We start from the raw sequence: 21896 nt of genomic DNA on the forward strand, positions 1-21896 counted from the left end.
CAAAAAAAAAGAGGACAAACATTGTATGATTCCACTTATATGATGTGCTTAGAGCAATCAAATTCATAAGACAGAAAGTACTACAGGAGATTGTAAGGGGCTGGAGAAGGGGAAAATGGGGAGTTAATGTTTAATGAGTATAGAGTTTTAGTTTGGGAGGATGAAAAAGTTCTGGAGATGCATAGTGGTGTTGGTGAAGGTATAACAACATGAATGTACTTAATACTGCTGGACTGTACACTTGAAAATGGTTAAAATGGTCAATTTTATGTTATGTATAATTTTACCACAATTAAAAAACCCTCTGTTTATATAATTTACATTTTTAGAGGGGGAAGACAGACAATAAATAAAATAAGGCCGGGCGCGGTGGCTCATGCCTGTAATCCCAGCACTTTGGGAGGCCGAGGCGGGTGGATCATGAGGTCAGGAGTTTGGCACCAGCCTGACCAACATGGCAAAACCCCGTCTCTACTAAAAATACAAAAATTAGCTGGGTGTGGTGGCGTATGCCTGTAGTCCCAGCTACTCAGGAGGCTGAGGCAGGAGAATCACTTGAACCCAGGAGGCGGAGGCTGCAGTGAGCCGAGATTGCACCACTGCACTCCAACCTGGGTGACAGAGAGAGACTCCATCTAAAAAAAAAAGTAAAAATAAATAATTAAATAAGTAAAAGATATGCTATATTAGACGTTAATTAGCGCTATGTAGAAAAATAAGCAGAAAAGAGGATGGAAAGCTGGGATGTGGTTGGAGTTGTGGTTTTAGAGAAGGTTGTCAGGGGAAGCTTTACTGATGAGGTGACTTGAGTGAAGACCTAAAGAAGGTAAGGGAGGCAGTCATGCAAAGAGCTGATTGAGGAACATTCCAGGCAGAGGGGACAGCAAGTTCATGGGAGGGCTGTCCACAGCACTGAAAAACACCCCGGGGCCAGGCATGCTTGGCCTGTTAAATGCACAGTATGGAGGCCCCTGAGTGGGAGTAACGGGGAGAGGAGGAGCAGAGAAAGTCAAGGAGGCCTGTACAACACAGGCCTTGTAGGCCAAGGTAAGGGCTTTTTCAGGGAGTGAGGTGGGAAGCTTTTACAGGTTTTTGGGCAGAGACTGATCAGATTTTTTTTATTATTTATTCACTTACTTATTTTTGAGACAGGGCCTCAGTCTGTCCTCCAGGCTGGAGTGCCATGGTATGATCATGGCTCACTGCAGCCTCCACCTCCCAGGCTCAAGCGATCCTCCTGCCTCAGCCTCTGGAGTAGCTGGGAATACAAGCGTGCACCAACACGCCTGGCTAATTTTGTTATTTTTTGGAGAGACGGGGTCTTGCTATGTTGCCCAGGCTCGTCTCAAAACTCCTGGGCTCAAATGGTTCTCCCTCCTTGGCCTCCCAAAGTGTTGGGATTACAGGCATGTGCCACTGTGCCTGGCCTAGGTTTGTGTTTTAAAGCAATGCTTCTCAAACTTTCTTGTGCATAACAATCTCCTACAGATCTCGTTAAAATGCAGATTCTGATTCAGGAGATCTGAGGTGGGGCCTGATTTCCAAAGACCACACTTGTGAAACCCTGAGACCACCATGTTGAGAGGAACCCCAATCCTGCCTGCTAGAGGATGAGAGGCCATATGGAGGAAAACCAAGCACCCCAGGCTCAGCTGACTGCCAGACATGTGAGGGAGACCATTTTGGCCCTTCTAGTCTAGCAGACCTTCCAGCAGCAATACATGATTGAAACAGGGATTGATTTGAAAGGATCCCTCTGACTACAGTGTGGACAATAGGCTGTGGGAAGGTGGCACACGTGCAGAAGCAGGGTGTACCCTGCACAAGTGCACAGTTGCATCTGCCAAAAGGTGTGCCTTTTTCTTTTTCTTTCTTTTTTTTGAGACAGGGTCTTGCTCTGTTGTCCAGGCTGGAATACAGTGGTGTGATCTCAGCTTATTGCAGCCTCCGCCTCCCGGGTTCACGCAATTTTCCTGCCTCAGACTCCCAAGTAGCTGGGATTACAGGCATGCACCACCATGCCTGGCTAATTTTGTATTTTTAGTAGAGACGGGGTTTCACCATGTTGGCCAGGCTGGTCTTGAACTCCTAACCTCAAGTGATCTGCCCACCTTGGCCTCCCAAAGTGCTGGCATTACAGGTGTGAGCTACCGTGCCCAACCCCTTTTTCTAATTTCCACGACAGCATTGATTGCTTTTGCAGCAGCTCAGTGAGAAAGTGGTGAGATTCTGAATATAATCTGAAGCAAAGACGGACAGGATTGGATGTGGGGTGGAGTCAAGGGTGAAGGCATGGAGTTATGTGAGAGGGGTAAGCCTGCAGGGGGAACAAATTTGGAAGAAACATGATTGCTTACTAGATATCAAAGTTCAGATATGAAGATTAGAATTTGGAGGCCAGGTGCGGTGGCTCACGCCTGTAATCTTAGCACTTTGGGAGGCTGAGGCCAGAGGATCACTTGACCTCAGGAGTTCAAGAGCAGCCTGGGCAACATAGTGGGACCTCAGCTCTATTTAAAAAAACACAAACAAGCCGGGCGCGGTGGCTCACGCCAGTAATCCCAGCAATTTGGGAGGCAGAGGCAGGCGGATCACCTGAGGTCAGCAGTTCAAGACCAGCCTGACCAACATGGAGAAACCCCATCTCTACTAAAAATACAAAATTAGCCGGGGTGGTGGCGCATGCCTGTAATCCCAGCTACTCGGGAGGCTGAGGCAGGAGAATCGCTTGAACCCAGGAGGCGGAGGTTGCGGCGAGCTGAGATCGTGCCATTGCACTCCAGCCTGGGCAATGAGAGCGAAACTCCGTCTCAAAACAAACAAACAAACAAACAAAAAAAACACAAACAAACAAAACCTCCCCCCCACCCAAAAAAAGATATATATATATATTCTTATATATGGTACTAGAGGTTGAAAAGTCATTAGATATTTAAGACCATAGACTGGGTGAGATCACCCAGGAGTAAGTGCAGATAAAGAGAACCCAAGACTGAGCCCAAGGAGACTGGGGAGTAGCAGCCAAACAGCTTTTGCCATGCAGAGATCATAAACGACCTTTACAAGAGAAGTTTTGGTGAAGTGCTGGATACAAACCCGTAATTTAGGGTGGGTTCAAGGAAGAAATGGAAGGAGAGGAACTGAAGGCAGAATATAAATAAATGCTTACACAAAATTTCTCTGTAAAGGTGAGTAGAGAAAGGCTGTGACTGGAGGGGAAAGGGAGTTCAAATTTGTTTGTTTTTCTGATGGGAGAAATGCCAGCATGTTTGCATACAGATGAGAATGACCCAGATGAGAGGCACAATTGATGATGCACAAGAGTCCTTGAAGGGATGAGATCTAGAGCACAGAGGGGCTGGGGGGCTGGCTGCAGACAGCAGCAGAGACAGTGCCATTGGAATAGGAGGAAAAGCAGAGTATATGGGCACAAATGCAGGTGGCAGGTTGATGGTGAGGGTGCGAGCCTTTGGCAGTTCTCTTCTGATAACTTTAATTTGCTCAAGAAAATAGGATCTTAACTGGGCCCAGTGGCTTGTGCCTATAATCCCAGCACTTTGAGAGGCCGAGTGGGGAGAATTGTTTGGGGCCAGGGCCAGGAGTTCAAGACAAGCCTGGGCAACATAGTGAGACCTTTGTATACATTTTTTTTTTTTGAGACAGTCTTGCTCTGTCACCCAGGCTGGAGTGCAGTGGTGCCACCTTGGGTCACTGTAACCTCCTCCTCCCAGGTTATAATGATTCTCTTGCCTTAGTCTCCCGAGTACCTGGGATTACAGGTACCCACCACTACACTTGGCTAATTTTTGCATTTTTAGTAGAGATGGGGTTTCACCCTGTTGGCCAGGCTGGTCTCGAACTCCTGACCTCAGGTGATCTGCCTGTCTTGGCCTCTCAAAGTGCTGGGATTACAGGTGTGAGCCACTGTGCCCAGCCTACCCATTCTAAAGTAAGATCTTAACTGGGCCCAGTGGTTTGCACCTATAATCCCAGCACTTTGAGAGTCCAATGTGGGAGGATCGCTTGAGGTCAGGAGTTTGAGATCAGGCTGAGAGCAACATAGTGAGACCTCCATCTCTACAAAAAAAATAAAAATAAAAATAAAAGCAATAGCCAGGCATGGTGGCACACACCTGTAAGTCCAGCAATTTGGAAGGCTGAGGTGGGAGGATTCCTTGAGCCCAGGAGTTCAAGGCTGCAGTGAGCTATGATTGTGCCATAGCACTCCAGCCTAGGTAACAGACCCTGTCTCTCAAAAAATAAATTAATTAATAATTACAAAATAGGATGTAAGATAATCAGTTGAGAGTGAGGGTAGGAGGGGCTTAAGGAGAACTGAAGGTGCTGCAAGAGTAAATAGCATCAGAAAACATACAACAACATTATTTACAGGCCGGGCACAGTGGTGCATGCCTGTAATCCCAGCATTTTGGGAGGCTGAGGGCAGGTGGATCACCTAAGGTGATGGAGGTTGGGAGTTCAAGACCAGCCTGGCCAACATGGTGAAACCCCATCTCTACTAAAAATAAAAATTAGCTGGGCATGGTGGTGGGCACCTATAATCCCAGCTACTACTGGGAGGCTGAGGCAGGAGAATCGCTTGAACCTGGGAGGCACAGGTTGCAGTGATCTGAGATCGTGCCATTGCACTCCAGCCTGGGCAACAAGAGTGAGACTCCATCTCAAAAAAAAAAAAGAAAGAAAAGAAAAGATTATTTATAATATCCTTGTGGACAAGGCAGAGAAATACAGCCTGGCTATAAGGCCTAAGTGAGGCAGTAATGGGTTGTTAAGGGATGAAGTGATGCCAGTCTAGACAGAGACTCTTTCACTGTGGTTTAACCTTAGTCCTTTTTGAATTGATAGTTATGTCAAATCATGCAAGGGCCAAAATAAGGCCTTTATGTAATTTGAAATAAAAATATTAAATCATAAAGCAAGTATAAGAAAGTCCAAGGCTGGGTGCAGTGGCTCATGCCTGTAATCCCAACAATTTGGGAGGCTGAGGCAGGAGGACTGCTTGAGCCCAGGAGTTCAAAGCCAGCCTGGGCAACATGGGGAGACCCTGTCTCTACCAAAAAAAAAAAAAAAAAAAAAAAAAAACCTGATAGTTGAACCCTGAGGAGGATTCTAGAGGATCACTTCAGTCTGAGAAGTTGAGGCTGCGGTGAGCCATGTTTGCGCCACTGCATGCCAGCCTGGCTGACAGAGTAAGACCCTGTCTCAAAAAATATATATTGAACTTCAAATTCTTTGCAAGATATATACATACATATTTTTGGTCTTATGCTTTATTGGTGCCTTCTACAAAGGCTGAGCTGAATGCCCTTGGGGTAAATGCAGATCCTGCAGACCCAGGGAAGATTCGACAATTTTAAAATTTTTTGTACAGATGGAGTCTTACTGTGTTGCCTAGGCTAGTTTTGAACTCCTGGGCTCAAGCGATCCTCCTGCCTGAACAACACAAAGTGCTGGGATTACAGGTGTGAGCCACTGCGCCCAGCCCTGACAAATTTGTTAAAGGCTTCAAAGCTAGAGGGGCAACTAGTAAACTGATAAACACAGACACATTTCAAATGACTGAAGAAATGCACCAAACTGAACAAGATGAGAATTTAACACATTCCTTGCTCTTAGGTTCAGGAAGCCAACTACTCACAAAGAATGGGGAAGCTATGGCTTAGCAACATCATATATAAAGTACTTATGGGGGGGTCCCTAAAAAAACCACTGACACTGGAAGGATATACTCCAAAACAGCAGCAGGAGTTACAGATAGGTTGTGGAATTCCCAATGATTTTAATTTTCTTCTTTTTTTCTTAGAGACAGGGTCTTGTTCTGTCACCCAGGCTGGAATGCAGTGATGCAATCATAGATCACTGTAACCTTGAACTCCTGGGCTCAGGCAATCCTCCCACCTCAGCCTCCTGAGTAGCTGGGATTACAGGTGTGTGCCACCATGCCTGGCTAATTTTTAAAGTTTTTTGTAGAGAGGGAGTCTTGCTATGTTGCCCACGCTGGTCTTGAACTCCTGGCCTTAAGGTATCCTGCCACCTTGGCCTCCCAAAGTGCTTGGATTACAGGTGTGTGCCTGAATTTTATGTTGTTTTATATGCTTTCCTTTATATTCCGAATTTCTCACAATGATAAAGAATTACTTTTATAATCATAAAAAATTAAAGATTGCTGTTATTTTAGGCACCAGCAATATAAATATGGTCTAATAATGGAGGCCACAGTACTGCTCTACTTTGTACCACGCCTAGACTGCTGAGTTCATCTGGGTGTCATGGTTTCTTTTTTTTTTTTTTTTTTTTTTTGAGACAGGATCTCTGCTCACGACAGATCTTGGCTCGCTGCAACCTCCGCCTCCCGGGTTCAAGCGATTCTCCTGCCTTAACCTCCCAAGTAGCTGGGAGTTACAGGTGTGCACCAGCACAGCCGGCTGATTGTTTTTTTTGTTGTTGTTGTTGTTGTTGTTTTTTGAGACGGAGTCTCGCTCTGTCACCCAGGCTGGAGTGCAGTGGCAGAATCTCGGCTCACTGCAAGCTCCGCCTCCCAGGTTCACGCCATTCTCCTGCCTCAGCCTCCTGAGTAGTTGGGACTACAGGTGCCCGCCACCACGCCCGGCTAATTTTTTGTATTTTTTTAGTAGAGACAGGGTTTCACCGTGTTAGCCAGGATGGTCTCAATCTCCTGACCTCGTGATCCACCCGTCTTGGCCTCCCAAAATGCTGGGATTACAGGCGTGAGCCACCGCGCCCGGCCAATTTTTTTTTTTTTTTTTTTTTTTTGAGACGGAGTCTCATTCTCTGGCCCAGGCTGGAGTGCAGCGGCGTGATCTCGGCTCACTGCAACCTCTGCCTCCTGGGTTCAAGCGATTCTCCTGCCTCAGCCTCCCGAGTAGCTGGGACTACAGGCGCCCACCACCACGCCCAGCTGATTTTTTTGTATTTTTAGTAGAGACGGGGTTTCACCATGTTAGCCAGGATGGTCTCGATCTCCTGACTTCGTGATCCACCCGCCTCAGCCTCCCAAAGTGCTGGGATTACAGTATTTTTAGTAGAGAGGGGGTTTCACCATGTTGGTCAGGCTGGTCTCGAACTCCTGATCTCGTGATACACCTACCTTGGCCTCCCAAAGTGCTAGAATTACAGGTGTGAGCCACCGTGCCCAGCCTTAATTTTTTTTTTTTTTTTTTTCTGAGACGGAGTCTCACTCTGTCACCTGGGCTGGAGTGCAGTGGCTCAATCTTGGCTCACTGCAACCTCCGCCTCCCAGGTTCAAGCGATTCTCCTGCCTCAGCCTCCCAAGTAGCTGGGATTACAGGCACCCGCCACTATGCCCAGCTAATTTTTTGTATTTTTAGTAAACACAGGGTTTCACCATGTTGGCCAGGCTGGTCTCGAACTCTTGACCTTGTGATTTGCCCACCTCGGCCTCCCAAAGTGCTGGGATTACAGGCATGAGCCACCACACCCGGCCTGGGTGTCACAATTTTGAAGTGAGCAGGCAAACCATGTCAGATAAGGAAAGCTTGCAAGAGAAAGCCCAGAGAAAAAAAAGGGAGCCTAGAGCTTGAATTCTGTCTTCTAATATGCCAAGGCATGACCTGTACAAGAGAACTAACAGCAGAAACTGGGAAAGACAGATGTCTCCCCAACAGAAGGAAGAGCAAAACTGGACAAAAGCTACGTAGCATCTTGGAGAGAGAATTCTAGGACAGAATGGTTAGTTGAACTAGCTGAGCATCAGAACCCCTCTCAGCCTTAATTTTTGAATTTTTATAAATGGAAAGTGTTCTATTAGAATTCTCATTAAAATCAAATTTTAAAATAAAAAATCCAGACATACTTAGAATGTCTATCTGGAGAGGAATGATGAAATAAATTACAGGCCATCCATTGTGGAAACAGTTGCTAAAACGAATATGAGATCTACAATATTACTGGGACAGGATACATGGTTAGATGAAAAAAGCAAACTGCCAGGTGGTATATGTAGTAGGACTGCATCTTTGTTTAAAAAAAAAAAAAAAAGTAAATTGGCAGAGTGCAGTGGCTTACACCCATAATCCCAGCACTTTTGGAGGCTGAGGTGGGAGGATTGCTTGAGGCCAGAAGTTTGAGTCCAGCCTGGGCAACATAGCGAGACCCCTGTCTCTCTGTGTATTTTTTTTTAAGTAACTTTAAAAAACCCTATAAATATGCATATATATGTTTGTACATAGAAAAGGTCTAGAAAGCTGTTCTCTGAGGGGCATGTATTACCTTTCAAATAAAAGAACATGCTTGGCAAGGTGGCTTACACCTATAATCCCAGCAATTTGGGAGGCTGAGGCCAGAGGATCACTTGAGTCCAGGAGTTCAAGACCAACCTGGGCAACATGGCAAAACCCTGTCTCTACAAAAAATACAAAAATTAACTGGGCATGGTGGCACGCACCTGTGATCCCAGCTACTTGGGAGGCTGAGGTGGGAGGATCACCTGAGTCTGGGAAGGTTGAGGCTGCAGTGAGCTGTGATTGAGCCACTGCTCTACAGCCTGGGTGAAACTGAGGCCCTGTCTCAAAAAAAGAAAAAAAGGACAAACAACAACAAAATAAACTAAGTTCAGGAAAGCTGGCATAAAAGGAGGAAATGGCTTATAGCTTTTCCCCCATTCTCTCCCGTTTCTACCCCATTTTTTTGTCCAAACAAAGGAATAATTATTAAATAGCACTACAGTCTTTCCAAACCTTCCCTGCTCAGGTTCATAAGATTGAAGGCCCCACCCAAGTCCTAACCAATAGCAAATGACCTTCAAGATCTATTCTGTTCACTTACTCTTTTTTTTGTTAACCCAGATACTGGCTGGCTTCTTTGTGGTCCTTGTTCCCAGCTTGAGCTAAATCTCTTATCACTGAGGCATCAGATCTTTTGCCACCTAAGTCTGCCAGCCTACTTATTTGCTCTAGACCTGCCCAGCAGAGGGCGGCTCCCCGAGTTCTTTCCATGGGAAGCCACCCTGGGACTCGGCCCCCTTTCTTCTGCCTTCTCTTTCATGTGCACCAGCCAGTTGGGTGGAGTGAGACCTTGGGAGCAGTACACCATGACAGAAAGAACACAGGCTTGCAGTAAATCAGACTTGGCGCAAAATCCTGCCTCTGCCATTACTAGCTGTGTGACCTTGGGAAATTTTTTTAATCTTTGAAAATTTAACGGTGACTCATGCCTGTAATCCCGGCACTTTGGGAGGTCGGGGTGAGTGAATCACTTGAGATCAGAAGTTCGAGACCAGTCTGGCCAACATGGTGAAACCCTGTCTCTACTAAAAATACAAAAATTAGCTGGGCATAGTGGTGGGCGCCTATAGTCCCAGCTACTCGGGAGGCTGAGGCAGGAAAATTGCTTGAACCCGGGAGGCAGAGGTTGCAGTTAGCCGAGATTGCACCACTACACTCCAGCCTGGGTGACAAGTGGGAAATTCCATCTCAAAAAAAAAAAAAGAAAAGAAAATTCCTTAACTCCCCTGAACTTCAGTTTTTCCTTCCGTAAAATGAGACTAAAACTTGTTTCATTGGGTTGTGGTGAGGAATAAGTGCAATGAAAAATGCTGCTTTGGGAGGCTGAGATGGGAGGATCACCTGAGGCCAGGAGTTTGAGACCAGACTGGGCAACACAGTAAGACCTTATTTCTACAAAAAATTATTTTTAAAATAAAATAAAGAAAAATGCTAAGTGTCTAATACAGGGTGAGGACAACCTAGGCGGTAGCTGGTGTGATCATTTGGTGGCAAGAGATGAGCTTTACCTGGCACGGTGGGCAAAGCCCACAAGGCACAGTTCCACTCTGCCCTACTTCGAATAGGGCTGACTTATGCACTAGGCACAACAGGCACAGTGCCCTGGGCCCACAATGCTTCGAAAGGCCCATGAAAATGTTTTAAATAATTTTCATTTCTTTTATAATTAGAAGAAGGAAAAGAAACAAAATTTTAGGTCAAAGAAATATTAAGGTTGTTATGCCATTCAATTACTAATTATAAATATTAATTATATTATATTATATTCTTCCTTACACTGATGCAGTTGTAAAATATGATTTTTAATATTTTTTTAAGTGAAGGAGGAGCCCACAAAGACAGAAGTGCCCAGGGCTCAGGAGTCATAATGTGGCCCTTCCTTTCAAGGTTCCTGGAGGATATCTTCTCTAGGAAGTCTTTATAGACTGTGAGGGAGGAATAGGTGGGAAGGTGGGGGAAGAGAAATGCAAGACAGGGGTAGAAGAGAAGAGCTGGCCTTTAGTGATCCCATCATTTAAAGTATAAGCTTTCTTCCTATCTGTGATTTCTATTCTTTTGTCTATTGCTGTCTCTGAACTTACACTTGCTTGGACCCAGTGGATAGGAGACTGTCCTAAATCACTACTTCACTCATGTCACTCGCTGGATCAAGAATGCAGCCAGGTGAGGTGGCTTGCGCCTATAATCTCAACAACTCAGGGGCAGAGGAAGGAGCATGGCTTCAGGCCGGGAGAGTTGCCTGAGCAACATAGCAAAACCCTATCTCTACAAAAAATTTTAAAATTAGCTGGGCGTGATGGTGCACGCCTGCAGTCCCAGCTGCTCAGGAGTCTGAGGTGGGAGGATCCCTCAAGCCCAGATGTTTGGGTCTGTAGTGAGCCAGGATTGTGCCACTGCACTCCAGCCTGGGCAACAGAGTAAGATCCCATCTCTTAAAAAAAAAAAAAAAAAAAAAAGGTCAGGCACAGTGGCTCATGCCTGTAATCCTAGTACTTTGGGAGGCCAAGGCAGGCGGATTGCCTGAGCTCAGGAGTTTGAGACCAGCCTGGGCAACATGGTGAAACCCCGTCTCTACTAAAATACAAAAAATTAGCCGGGTGTGGCAGCGTGTGCCTGTAATCCCAGCTACTCAGGAGGTTGAGGCAGGAGAATTGCTTGAACCCGGGAGGTGGAGGTTGCAGTGAGCCGAGATGGTGCCACTGCAATCCAGCCTGGGTGACAGAGCAAGACTCCATCGCCAGAAAAAAAAAAAAAAAAAGAGAAAGAGAGAGAGGACTGATTCAACGATCAATTTTTTAAAAAAAATTTTTAAAGGATATAAATATACAACTGAACAAGAACAAAACAAATCAACTAAAAAATGGGACAAGACTTGAATAGACATTTCTCCAAAGATATACAAATGGTCAATAAGTACATGAAAAGATGCTCCACATCACTATCACTAGGGAAATGCAAATCAAAACCACAATGAGATACCACTTCACACACAATATGATGACTACCATTAAACAGAAAGTAACAAGTGTTGGCAAGGTTGTAGAGAAACTGAAACCTTTATGCATTGCTGGTAGGAATATAAAATGGTGCAGCTGCTGTGCAAACCTATATGGTGGATCCTCAAAAAAATCAAACACAGAATTACCACATGATATAGCAATTCCACTTCTGAGCATACATCCCAAACAACTGAAAGCAGGGTCTCAAGAAGATATTTGTACACCCATGTTTATGGCAGCATCAGTCACAATAGCCAAAAGGTGGAAGCAACTCAACTGTCCATCATAGATGAATGGATAAACAAAATGTAATATACACATACAACAATATTATTCAGCCTTGAAAAAGTAGGAAATTGTGACATGCTACAATATGGATGAACTTTGAGAATATTATGCTAAGTGAAGTTAGCCAGACACAAAAGGTCTATTGTATGATTCTACTTACATGAAGTACCTAGAGCAGTCAAATTTACATAGACAGAAAATAGAACGGTGTTTGCAGGGAAATGGGGAATCAGTGTTTAATGGGTGTCAAGTTTCGGTTTGGGAAGGTAAAGTTCTGGAGATGGATGGTGGTGAGGAACATGAATTACTTAATACAGTAGTCCCCCCAGGCCAGGCACTGGCCTGTAATCCCAGCACTTTGGGAGGCCGAGGTGGGCGGATCACGAGGTCAGGAGATCAAGACCATCCTGGCTAACACGGTGAAACCCCGTCTCTACTAAAAATACAAAAAATTAGCCGGGCGTGGTGGTGGGCGCCTGTAGTCCCAGCTACTCGGGAAGCTAAGACAGGAGAATGGCGTGAACCCATGAGGCGGAGCTTGCAGTGAGCTGAGATGGCGCTACTGCACTCCAGCCTGGGTGACAGAGCGAGACTCCGTCTCAAAAAAAAAAAACAACAGTAGTCCCCTCTTATCTGCGGTTTTGCTTTCCTAGGTTTCAGTTACCCGTGGTCAACTGCAGTCCGAAAACATTAAATAGAAATTTAACAGAAAAAGAAAATTCCAGAAAGGAACAATTCATACATTTTAAATTATGTACCGTTCTGAGTAGCGTGATGAAATCTCACACCCTGCTCCATCCTGCCTGGAAAGTGAATCATCCTTTTGTGTCCATGCTATAAACGCTTAGTAGAGTACCACAGCGCTTGTGTTCAAGTAACCCTTATTTTACATGACAGTGGCCCCAAAGCACAAGAATAGTGATGCAATTTGGACATGCCAACAAGAAGTGCTTCCTTTAAGTGAAAAGGTGAAAGTTCTTGACTTAAGAAAAAAAAAAAAAGAACTGTGTACTGAGGTTTCTAAGATCTATAGTAAATAAGACATTTTAAGTGAGAGAGACCATTTTCACATAACTCTTATTACAGTATATTGTTATAGTTGTTCTATTTTATTATTATTGTTAATCTCTTACTGTGCCTAATTTACAAGTTAAGCTTTATCATAAGTATGTATGTACAGGAAAAAACACAGTATAGATGGGGTTCAGTACTATCTGAGATTTCAGGCATCCACTGGGGTTTTTGGAATGAATCCCCTGTGGATAAGCGGGGACTACTCTACCACTGAATTGTCTGCGAAAAAATGGCTAAAATGGTAATACCTGTACTATGTTTATTTTACCATAAATTTTAAAAAAGAAAAAATGGCATGAGCCTGTAATCCCAGCACTTTGGGAGGCCGAGAAGGGCAGATCACTTGAGGCCAGGAGTTTGAGACCAGCCTGGCCAACATGGCGAAACCCTGTCTCCACTAAAAGTATACAAATTAGCCAGGCGTGGTAGCGCACGCCTGTAATTCCAGCTACTAGGGAGACTAAGGTGGGAGAATTGCTTGAACCCAGGGGGCGGAGGTTGCAGTGAACCGAAATTAAGCCACTGTACTCCAGCCTGGGTGACACAGCAAGACTTGGTCTCAAAAATAATAATAATAAAATTTAAAAAATGTAAACAGCTCCCCCTTGCCAAGGTTCTAATCCCTCAGCTAGCTGCCAAGGTATCACCTTTTTTCCCTTGTGGGCAGGATTATTCTGGAGGTCCTCTGCCCACCCGCTTCCTGAACATCCTCCAGGGTAAATCGTCTCTGTAGCTTCACACATGGTATGAGGTATTCTACCTTTATCTAGAGCAGGTACACACGAAAAAGGTATTCTACGTTTCTCTAAGATACCTGCTGCGCCCCTTTGCCTGTATGAACCTTGTCCGTCTTTCAAGGGCAAGACTCAGATCCCCTTCCTCACCCACCCATGAAGCCTTTGCTGACCTATTCCCCCCCCCCACTCCGTGTCCCCCTAACTCTTTTTTTTTTTTTTTAAGACAGGGTCTTGCTCTGTCACCTAGGCCGGAGTGCAGTGGCATGATCTCGGCTCATTGCAACCTCCATCTCCTGGGCTCAAGGGATCCTCCCACCTAAGCCTTTGGAGTAGCTGGAACCACAGGTGTCTACCACCAAGCCCGGCTAATTTTTAAATTTTTTTGTAGAGATGGGGTTTCGCCATGTTGCCCAGGCTGATCTCGAACTCCTGAGCTCAGTCTGCCTGCCTCAACCTCCCAGAGTGCTGGAATTACAGGCGTGAGCCACCATACCTGGCCATTTCTCTCTTTTATCTCTTCTCACCAGACAACTAAAAGTCTGAATTGTGTGCATTACCAGTCACAGAGGACACTGTCTTAGACTTCCACTGGTGGTGTCACTCACCTGTTTCCACATCAGTAAAAGCAGAGAATGCCTGTCCTAATGACAAATGTGACTGTGTATAGGAAGACAAAGGTGTATAGACCAACCAAGGGTTTGTTCCTCTCTCTCCCTAACTAGCACATGCTGAAAACAGTCAATAAATAACTGATAGTTTGTCCGGCCCAGCCTGATGATGAACTAAAAGGTGGGCATCCATTCTCAGAGTGCTGAGCAGTAGTGCCCGGCCTCCGCACACCTTCAGGGAACAATGGGGTTTTGATGCTGGGTCTGTATCACCAGAGGAGTGGAATGAGAAAGCCAGCAAAATCACTTTCAAGGGAAAGATGGGTTTCTAACAAGTACTCAGTGCTAATAACCAACGTGACTGAGTGCTTACGAGATACTACACACTCTTCTAGGTGTTTTATATGGGTTGTCTCATTTAATCTTCATAAATCATAAGATAGGTACTATTTTCCCTATTTTGTGAATGATGAAACCGGAGCTTAGAGGTTAGCAATACTATCTTTAGCAGGTTTTTAAAAAATGATTTCCCTGTTATCTTTGAAGATTCCTTTTCCACATTTAATTACAAGGGTTTCTGCTACATTCTTTGCCATAGCTATAAATTATTAGACAGATGAATGTAAAGCCCTTCCTTTAGGCTTATACAATAATCTTCCTTCCTTCCTTCCTTCCTTCCTTTCCTTTCCTCCCTCCCTTCCTATTTTTTGAGACCGGTCTCACTTTGTTGCCCAGGCTGGAGTGCAATGGCACGATCTCGGCTCACCTGTGCTTCCCAGGTTCAAGCGATTCCCATGCCTCAGCCTCCTGAGTAGTTGGGATTACAGGCGTGCACCACCACGCCTGGCTAATTTTTTTGTATTTTTAGTAGAGATGGAGTTTCACCATGTTGGCCAGGCTGGTCTCAAACTCCTGACCTCAGATGATCCGCCCACCTCGACCTCCCAAACTGCTGGCATTACAAGCATGAGCCACCACGCCCGGCCTCTTTCTTTCTTTTGAATTAGCAATGGGGTCTCACTATGTTCCCCAGGCAGGTCTCAAACACCTAGCCTCAAGAGATCCTCCTGTCTCAGTCTCCCAAAGTCCTGGGATTACCGACATAAAATTATTTGATAAACCGAGGTTACAAAGATTTGTGAAGTCACCATGTCCATGTGACTTCAGATTAAAACCGTACTAAGGGGCACACTCTAGTTCCTGCTTCCTCCCAGGCCCTTCCTGTGTGAGGCAGGCAGAGAGAGGTGGGAGTCTTCCCACCTGGGCTGAGGCTTCCAGGACTGGTCTGGGGAAGGGGATGTTGAACAATTCTTTCTCACTGGGATTAGGAAAGGCCTTCACCTACCTCTTGGAGAAGGAGTAGTCAGGAGGCTGGTCATTGTCACTAGTGGTTGAGTTTCTTGGAGAAGAGGCAGATCTGTAGGAAGAGGGGCAAAGACAGGAATGTAGCGGGTGGGCCCCTATGGCTTTGAGTCCTGGAAGTCCCAGGAAAGCCTCTGGTGCCAGGTTCTCCCAAGTCCCTTCCCCTTTTTCTCTTGTCCTCTTCTGGTTTCCCTGAATATCTCCTCAGGCTCCAGGTACCAACAGCTCTCCACAGGAGCAGGTCTGAGGCCGCATGCAGTTTGACGGGGTGTTACCTTCATACGCTCTCTCCAGGTCCTTTCAATGGGCCACCAAATTTACTTAGATCTCTCAAGGCCTGAGAAAGTCAGGCAAAGGTTCGCAAATCAGCAGCGAACCCAGTTTCGCCAAAGCGCGGTAACAGGTACCCTAGGGTTCCACAGCTAGGAGTTCTGGTGACGCCATCCACCAGGTGTCAGGAGAGGGCCGGGAAGGTCAGGACCCGCGCCCAGGCTCCAGAGCGGAGTGGGCGCAGCGCAGTAGCCGGGCCGGGACCGGGAGGCGACGGCCGTGGGCCGCCTTCTGGCTCGCCTCGGACGCTGGGACGCCGGACTGGCCGCCCCCTCCGGGCCTGCTTTCGCCGTCCAGGGCGCGGTCCGCGCACAGCCTGCCAAGCCTCACTGGGCCCCAGCCCGCGCCCCGCGCCCCGGAGATCCTCGACGCCCCTGCGAACGCGGGGTGGACGCGACGGGCTGGGTTGGTCCTCGCCCCGCGGCCCCGCCCCCGTCCCCGCCCCCGCCCCGAGCCCCCCGCGTTACCAGCACCCCGCGGAGCGCGCTGCGCTGGGGGCGGCCGGTGCGTCGGGGAGCGGCGTTCCCAGCCGCCGCGACCCTCTGCCCCAGCGGAGCGCTGAGCTTCGGCCGCTCCGGGTTTCGGTTCCTGCCACGGCCGAGGTGGCTGCGGCGAATGTGGGCGACCCGGCTCTCCGGCGCCCCCGCCCTTCCCTCGTGCTCACCTTTCCAGTCGGACGGGCTGCTGGTGAAGGGCCGGCGCCGCTCCGCGCGTCCTTTTGAACTCAACGGGGGCGGGCACCGCGGAGTCGCGGAGGCCAGCAGAGGCCGAACGAGGACCCCGAGCGGAGGAAGCCGCGGGTGGCGCGCGGGGTTGGCGCAGAGGCCGGAGGGGGTGGGGGGCAGGCCGACGGGGTGGGACAGGAAAAGCGGAGAGAAACCGCCCTCTGCAGGTCCCCTTGGCTCCCCCGGGAGGAAAGGCAGCCTGCCCTTCTCCGATTGTCACTTTACTCTCCATCCGGAGCCGCTTCCTTTCTCGCCGCGAGGCTCGGGGTTGGGGGGGGACCAGATTGGAGCCGCGGGCTAACTGGGATCCGTCCCATTTCCCTGGGCTTGACGTTCTCTGAATTTTTAGCTAATGTGGAAAGTTACATTTATTTGCATTTGTTTATCGCTTGCTCACATAGGTCTGTGTCCTGAAGCTTGGCAGATGAGCGAACTTAGCCAGCACACCCCCGGCCGTGAAGCAGGGAGGTGAAGCGGGGAGAGCAACGAGCCCCACCCGGGTCTTGCCAGCTGGACGTTCTTGTGGGGCAGCGTTGAGCAGCGGTTAGGAGTGCCGTGGACTTTGGATTCAAACAGCCCCAGCTCTTCTGCTTGCTAGCTGGGTGACTTTGGGCAAATTAACATCTCGAAAATCTGTTTCCTCATTCCTAAAATGCGGGTCTGAAAGTGATCATGCCTGTAAAGCCATCTCATATCCATGGTTCTAGAAGCATGGTGAGCACCTCAATTTGAATAATCAGTGCCATGCTTTAGCTACCTCTTGACTCACTCGTTTGTGGCAGGAAATGTTCCCAAATTAATCAGAAGAATTCAGTGACTAAGAGGATGTAATAGTATATAGCGCAGGCACTGGAATCAGCTCTGCTGTGTGATCTTGGACAAGCTGCTTCTGTTCCGTTTCTCTTATCTGGGGCAATACCTGTCTGAATAGAGTGACTGTTGGGACGAAATAGGTTAGTAAATATGTACTGTAAGGCATTAGAACCTTGCCTGGCACATAGTAAGTGCTCAATAAACGCTAGGTCTTGTTACCTTGGCTTCCCGTTTAGGATTGGAACCCTTGTGATTATTCTTTCCCTCCCAGTGATAGACTTCTGTGCTTACTTCGCACTCCTAGGCGTTCTGTAGGTTTGTAAACCAGTATTTATACAGAAATACTTTCTGTAGAAAGACAGGCATCATCAGATTGTGCATGTTAATCCGGGAACAGACCGAAAGGGAAGGTCTCAGAGGAGAGAGGCATAAAGGGAGAAAACAAAACAAAGTCACAAGCAAAGCAAGAGTAGTTGCTTTTATTCCTAAAGTGTTCATTATAAAAGAAACCAGAGGGCAGGGCACTGTGGCTCCCAGCACTTTGGGAGGCGGGTGGATCACTTGAGGTCAGTAGTTTGAGACCAGTCTGGCCAACAAGGTGAAACCCTGTCTCTACTAAAAATACAAAATCCGCTGGGCGTGGTGGCACACACCTGTAATCCCTGCTACTCTGGAGGCTGAGGCACGAGAATTGCTTGAACCTGGGAGGCAGAGGTTGCAGTGAGGCGAGATCACACCATTGCACTCCAGCCTGGGCAACAACAGCAAAACTCCGTCTCAAAAGAAAAAAACAAACACAAATACAGGAGGAAAACAAACAATAAAAAAGTGATGAAATTCATTTTATATAAATATATTGTGAGAAATATATGTAAATATGTGCATGGGAAAATGCCAATCCAACCAAGAAAGGCAAAGAAAGTGATATGCCAGCTATGCATATGTAACTTAATAAAAGAAAGGTGAGCCTGGCTTGTCCTTAGATAAGAGAATATCCAAGAGAAAAGGAAATTAAAATCCTAGAGGGCTAAATCCAAAGGAGGACAATTGCTGGCATTGACATACTTCTAGCTGTCCACCTTGATCATGAATTCCAGGAGAAGTTCAGATCGTTCTTGGACCTGGGTCTGTCTCTTTCACATTTTCTATTATGTGTTGAAGATTGTTTAGAACTATAGACTCAGCCAGGCGCGGTGGCTCACACTTGTAATCCCAGCACTTTGGGAGGCCGAGGCGGGTGGATCACAAGGTCAGGAGTTCAAGACCAGCCTGGCCAACACAGTGAAACCCTGTCTCTACTAAAAATATAAAAATTAGCTGGACGTGGTGGCAGGCGCCTGTAATCCGAGCTAATGGGGAGGCTGAGGCAGGAGAATCGCTTGAACCCGGGAGGCGGAGGTTGCAGTGAGCCGAGATTGTGCCACTGCACTCCAGCCTGGGCGACAAAAAAAAAAGAAAAAAAGAACTACAGACTCAGAGGCTATCTGGCTCAACTGACTGACTCTACTGATTTGCTGTCACTTTCACAATTTCGACAGTTGTTAGTAATGTTCTTTCAATAAGCATCTTTTTTTTCTCTTTAAAATGTAACTGGTGGGGCGCAGTGGCTCACGCCTGTAATCTCAGCACTTTGGGAGGCCAAGGCAGGCAGATCACCTGAGGTCAGGAGTTCGAGATCAGCCTGGCCAACATGGCGAAACCACGTCTCTACTAAAAATACAAAAATTAGCTGAGTGTGGTGGCGGGAGCCTGTAATCCCAGCTACTTCGGAGTCTGAGGCAGGAGAACCTTTTTGCACCCTGGAGGTGGAGGTTGCAGTGAGCCGAGATTGCACCAACGCACTCCAGCCTGGGCAACAGAGTGAGACTCTGACTCAAAAAAAAAAAAAAACAAGTAACCTTACACCTATAATCCCAGCACTTTGGGAGGCCACAGTGGGCAGATCACTTAAGCCTAGGAGTTTGAGACCAGCCTGGGCAACATGTTGAAACACTGTCTCTACAAAATACAAAAAAAGTTAGACAGGAGTCGTGGCATGCACCTGTGGTCCCAGCTAGTCAGGAGGCTGAGGTGGGAGGATCACTTGAGCCCTGGGGGTGAAGGCTGCACTCCAGCCTGGGAGATATAGCAAGATCCTTTCCCCTCAACCAAAAAAAAGTAACCTTAGGGAGGGAGGTGGGGATGATTAATGGGTACAAAAAAAAAAAAAAAAAGAATAAGACCTTAAGACCTACTATTTGGTAGCACAACAGGGTGACTATAAATAATAACTTAATTGTACATTTAAAAATAACTAAAATAGTGTAATTGGATTGTTTTTAACACAAAAGATAAATGCTTAAGGGGATGGATACTCCATTCTCCATGATATGATTTTATTATGCATTGCATGCTTATATCAAAACATCTCATGAGGCCGGGCATGGTGGCTCACACCTGTAATCCCAGCACTTTGGCAGGCGGATCACAAAGTCAGGAGATCAAGACCATCCTGGCTAACATGGTGAAACCCCGTCTCTACTAAAAATACAAAAAATTAGGCAGGCGTGGTGGCAGGCACCTGTAGTCCCAGCTACTGGGGAGGCTGAGGCAGGAGAATGGCATGAACCCGGGAGGCAGAGCTTGCAGTGAGCTGAGACTGTGCCACTGCACTCCAGCCTGGGCAACAGAGCAAGACTCTGTCTCAAAAAAAAAAAAACAAAAAAACTCATGTACCCCATAAATATATATACCTCCTATGAACCCACAAAAATTAAACATTAAAAAAATAAAAATAGGCCAGGCACAGTGGCTCACGCCTGTAATCCCAGCACTTTGGGAGGCCGAGGCGGGCAGATCACAAGGTTGAGAGATCGAGACCATCCTGGCCAACATGGTGAAACCCCAACTCTAATAAAAATACAAAAATTAGTCGAGCATGGTGGCGCATGCCTGTTATCCCAGCTGCTCAAGACGCTGAGGCAGGAGAATCGCTTAAACCTGGGAGGCGGAGGTTTCAGTGAGCAGAGATCACACCACTGCACTCCAGTCTGGCAACAGGGTGAGACTCCATCTCAAAAAAAAATAATAATAAAAATGAATAAAATGTAACCTTAGAAGGTTTGCTGATACTTGATTTTTTTTTTTTTTTTTGGAGACAAGAGTCTTGCTCTATCACCCAGGCTGGAGTGCAATGGCGTGATATCGGCTCACTGCAACCTCCGCCTCCCGGGTTCAAGCAATTCTTCTGCCTCAGCCTCCCAAATAGCTGGGATTACAGGCGTCTGCCATCAGGCCCGGATAATTTTTTGTATTTTTAGTAGAGACAGAGTTTCGCCATGTTGGCCAGGCTGGTCTCGAACTCCTGACCTCAGGTGATCCACCCGGCTCAGCCTCCCAAAGCGCTGGGATTACAGGCATGAGCCACCACGCCTGGCCTGATACATTATTTATTAATTTTTTTATGTAGTCACATACCTCATTTTATTTTTTGAGGTGGAGTCTCACTCTGTCGTCCAGGTTGGAGTGCAGTGGCTCCATCTCAGCTCACTGCAACCTCTGCCTCCCAGGTTCAAGTGATTCTCATGCCTTAGCCTCTGGAGTAGCTGGGATTACAGGTCCACACCACCAGGCCTGGCTAACTTTTGTATTTTTAGTAGAGACAGGGTTTCACCATGTTGGCCAGGCTGGTCTCAAACTCCTGACCTTGAGTGATCCACCTGCCTCGGCCTCCCAAAGTGCTGGGATTATAGGCATGAGCCACTGCTCCCAGCCAACATACCTCATTTTAAAAGTGTAGTCATACAGAAAAATAGATCCAATATGCACATGCTCAGCACCCAGTTTGGTGTAAAATAAATACTATTGTAAGCAGTGTGCGTATTGTGTTCTCTGGTGTGTGTGCTGTTTATCTGGATATGTCATGTCTCGAGCTCTCTGCATGTCTTACCTAGTCTGTCAGTATGTCCTTCAAACTGCTGGAGGGCAGGGACTGGAGGATGTTCTTGCAATTAATTCTATGTAGAGAGGCATACAGACAGATGATGAATGAAGGCTTGTGGTGGTAAACTACCAGTGTTCTCCAAGGATTAAATGCTAAACCTCAGAAACTGCAGAGGCTGTCCTTTTGTCAATAGACCTCAAGGGGCCTTAGGGGAGGGGACAAGAGACATTCATCTCCACCCAGTTTTATTGGCCTTCAGCCCCACCTTGTGCTGCTGCCAGGATGGCAGTCTTTCCCCTGGACATTACCATTTTGTCAGTTAGGGTAAACAAGCTGTTCCCCAAATGGCACTATCCACCCTAGGTAAGCATATGGGCACTTTCCCCTGCCTCCTCGGAGCTCTCAGTAGGGTTATACACAAAGTGCCAACCTCACAATTTAGTAAAATTCTCCACTTCAGGTGTGCCTCTATTGCAGCAGTTACTGCTTGTCTGCCCCACCAGACTGTAAGTCCCTAGAAGTCTCTGGCTCACGCCAAAGAGGATCAGTCTCCTGAGGAGAGTAGGGAAAGCCCTGGAGAGAAAAGGGTTGAGGGCCTTGTGCAGCTAGGGTCCTCTGTTCCCAGCATTTTCCCTGTATCACTCCCAGCAGTGATTCTGAATGCCAAGGGAGTGGAACATCTTTTATTTTATCTTATTTATTTATTTTTGAGATGTAGTCTTGCTTGGTCACCAGGCTGGAGTGCAGTGGCGC

General features: G+C 46.9%; 1 protein-coding gene across 2 annotated transcripts in view, besides 4 other annotated features; it reads right to left on the reverse strand.

Moving 5' to 3' along the window:
- Positions 1 to 16507, reverse strand: part of SMAGP (small cell adhesion glycoprotein) — a 25858-nt gene extending 9351 nt beyond the window's left edge. Inside the window, exons 1-2 of one of the 2 annotated variants that reach the window (NM_001031628.2) lie at positions 16348 to 16507; positions 15337 to 15408 (exon numbers count right to left, since the gene is read on the reverse strand). In NM_001031628.2, the coding sequence (NP_001026798.1) occupies positions 15337 to 15370 (34 nt within the window). In that variant the 5' untranslated portion in view covers positions 15371 to 15408; positions 16348 to 16507. Of the gene's footprint in view, positions 1 to 15336; positions 15409 to 16150; positions 16303 to 16347 lie in introns of those variants that run through there. The other variant, NM_001033873.1, reaches the window with a different exon arrangement.
- Positions 15776 to 16445: a silencer, noted in NCBI's record as "silent region_4464". NCBI's record gives its function as "represses an Ori minimal core promoter by ATAC-STARR-seq in GM12878 lymphoblastoid cells {active_cell/tissue: GM12878}" and the evidence as "EXISTENCE:reporter gene assay evidence [ECO:0000049][PMID:35858748]".
- Positions 15776 to 16681: a biological region, named in NCBI's record as "H3K27ac hESC enhancer GRCh37_chr12:51663873-51664373".
- Positions 16181 to 16681: an enhancer, noted in NCBI's record as "H3K27ac hESC enhancer chr12:51663873-51664373 (GRCh37/hg19 assembly coordinates)". NCBI's record gives its function as "activates a minimal SCP1, AML or CMV promoter by ChIP-STARR-seq in primed H9 embryonic stem cells {active_cell/tissue: H9 hESC(primed)}" and the evidence as "EXISTENCE:reporter gene assay evidence [ECO:0000049][PMID:30033119]".
- Positions 16486 to 16565: a silencer, noted in NCBI's record as "silent region_4465". NCBI's record gives its function as "represses an Ori minimal core promoter by ATAC-STARR-seq in GM12878 lymphoblastoid cells {active_cell/tissue: GM12878}" and the evidence as "EXISTENCE:reporter gene assay evidence [ECO:0000049][PMID:35858748]".

The sequence above is a fragment of the Homo sapiens genome, chromosome 12 (genome assembly GCF_000001405.40).
Source record: "Homo sapiens chromosome 12, GRCh38.p14 Primary Assembly".
Lineage (NCBI taxonomy): Eukaryota > Metazoa > Chordata > Mammalia > Primates > Hominidae > Homo > Homo sapiens.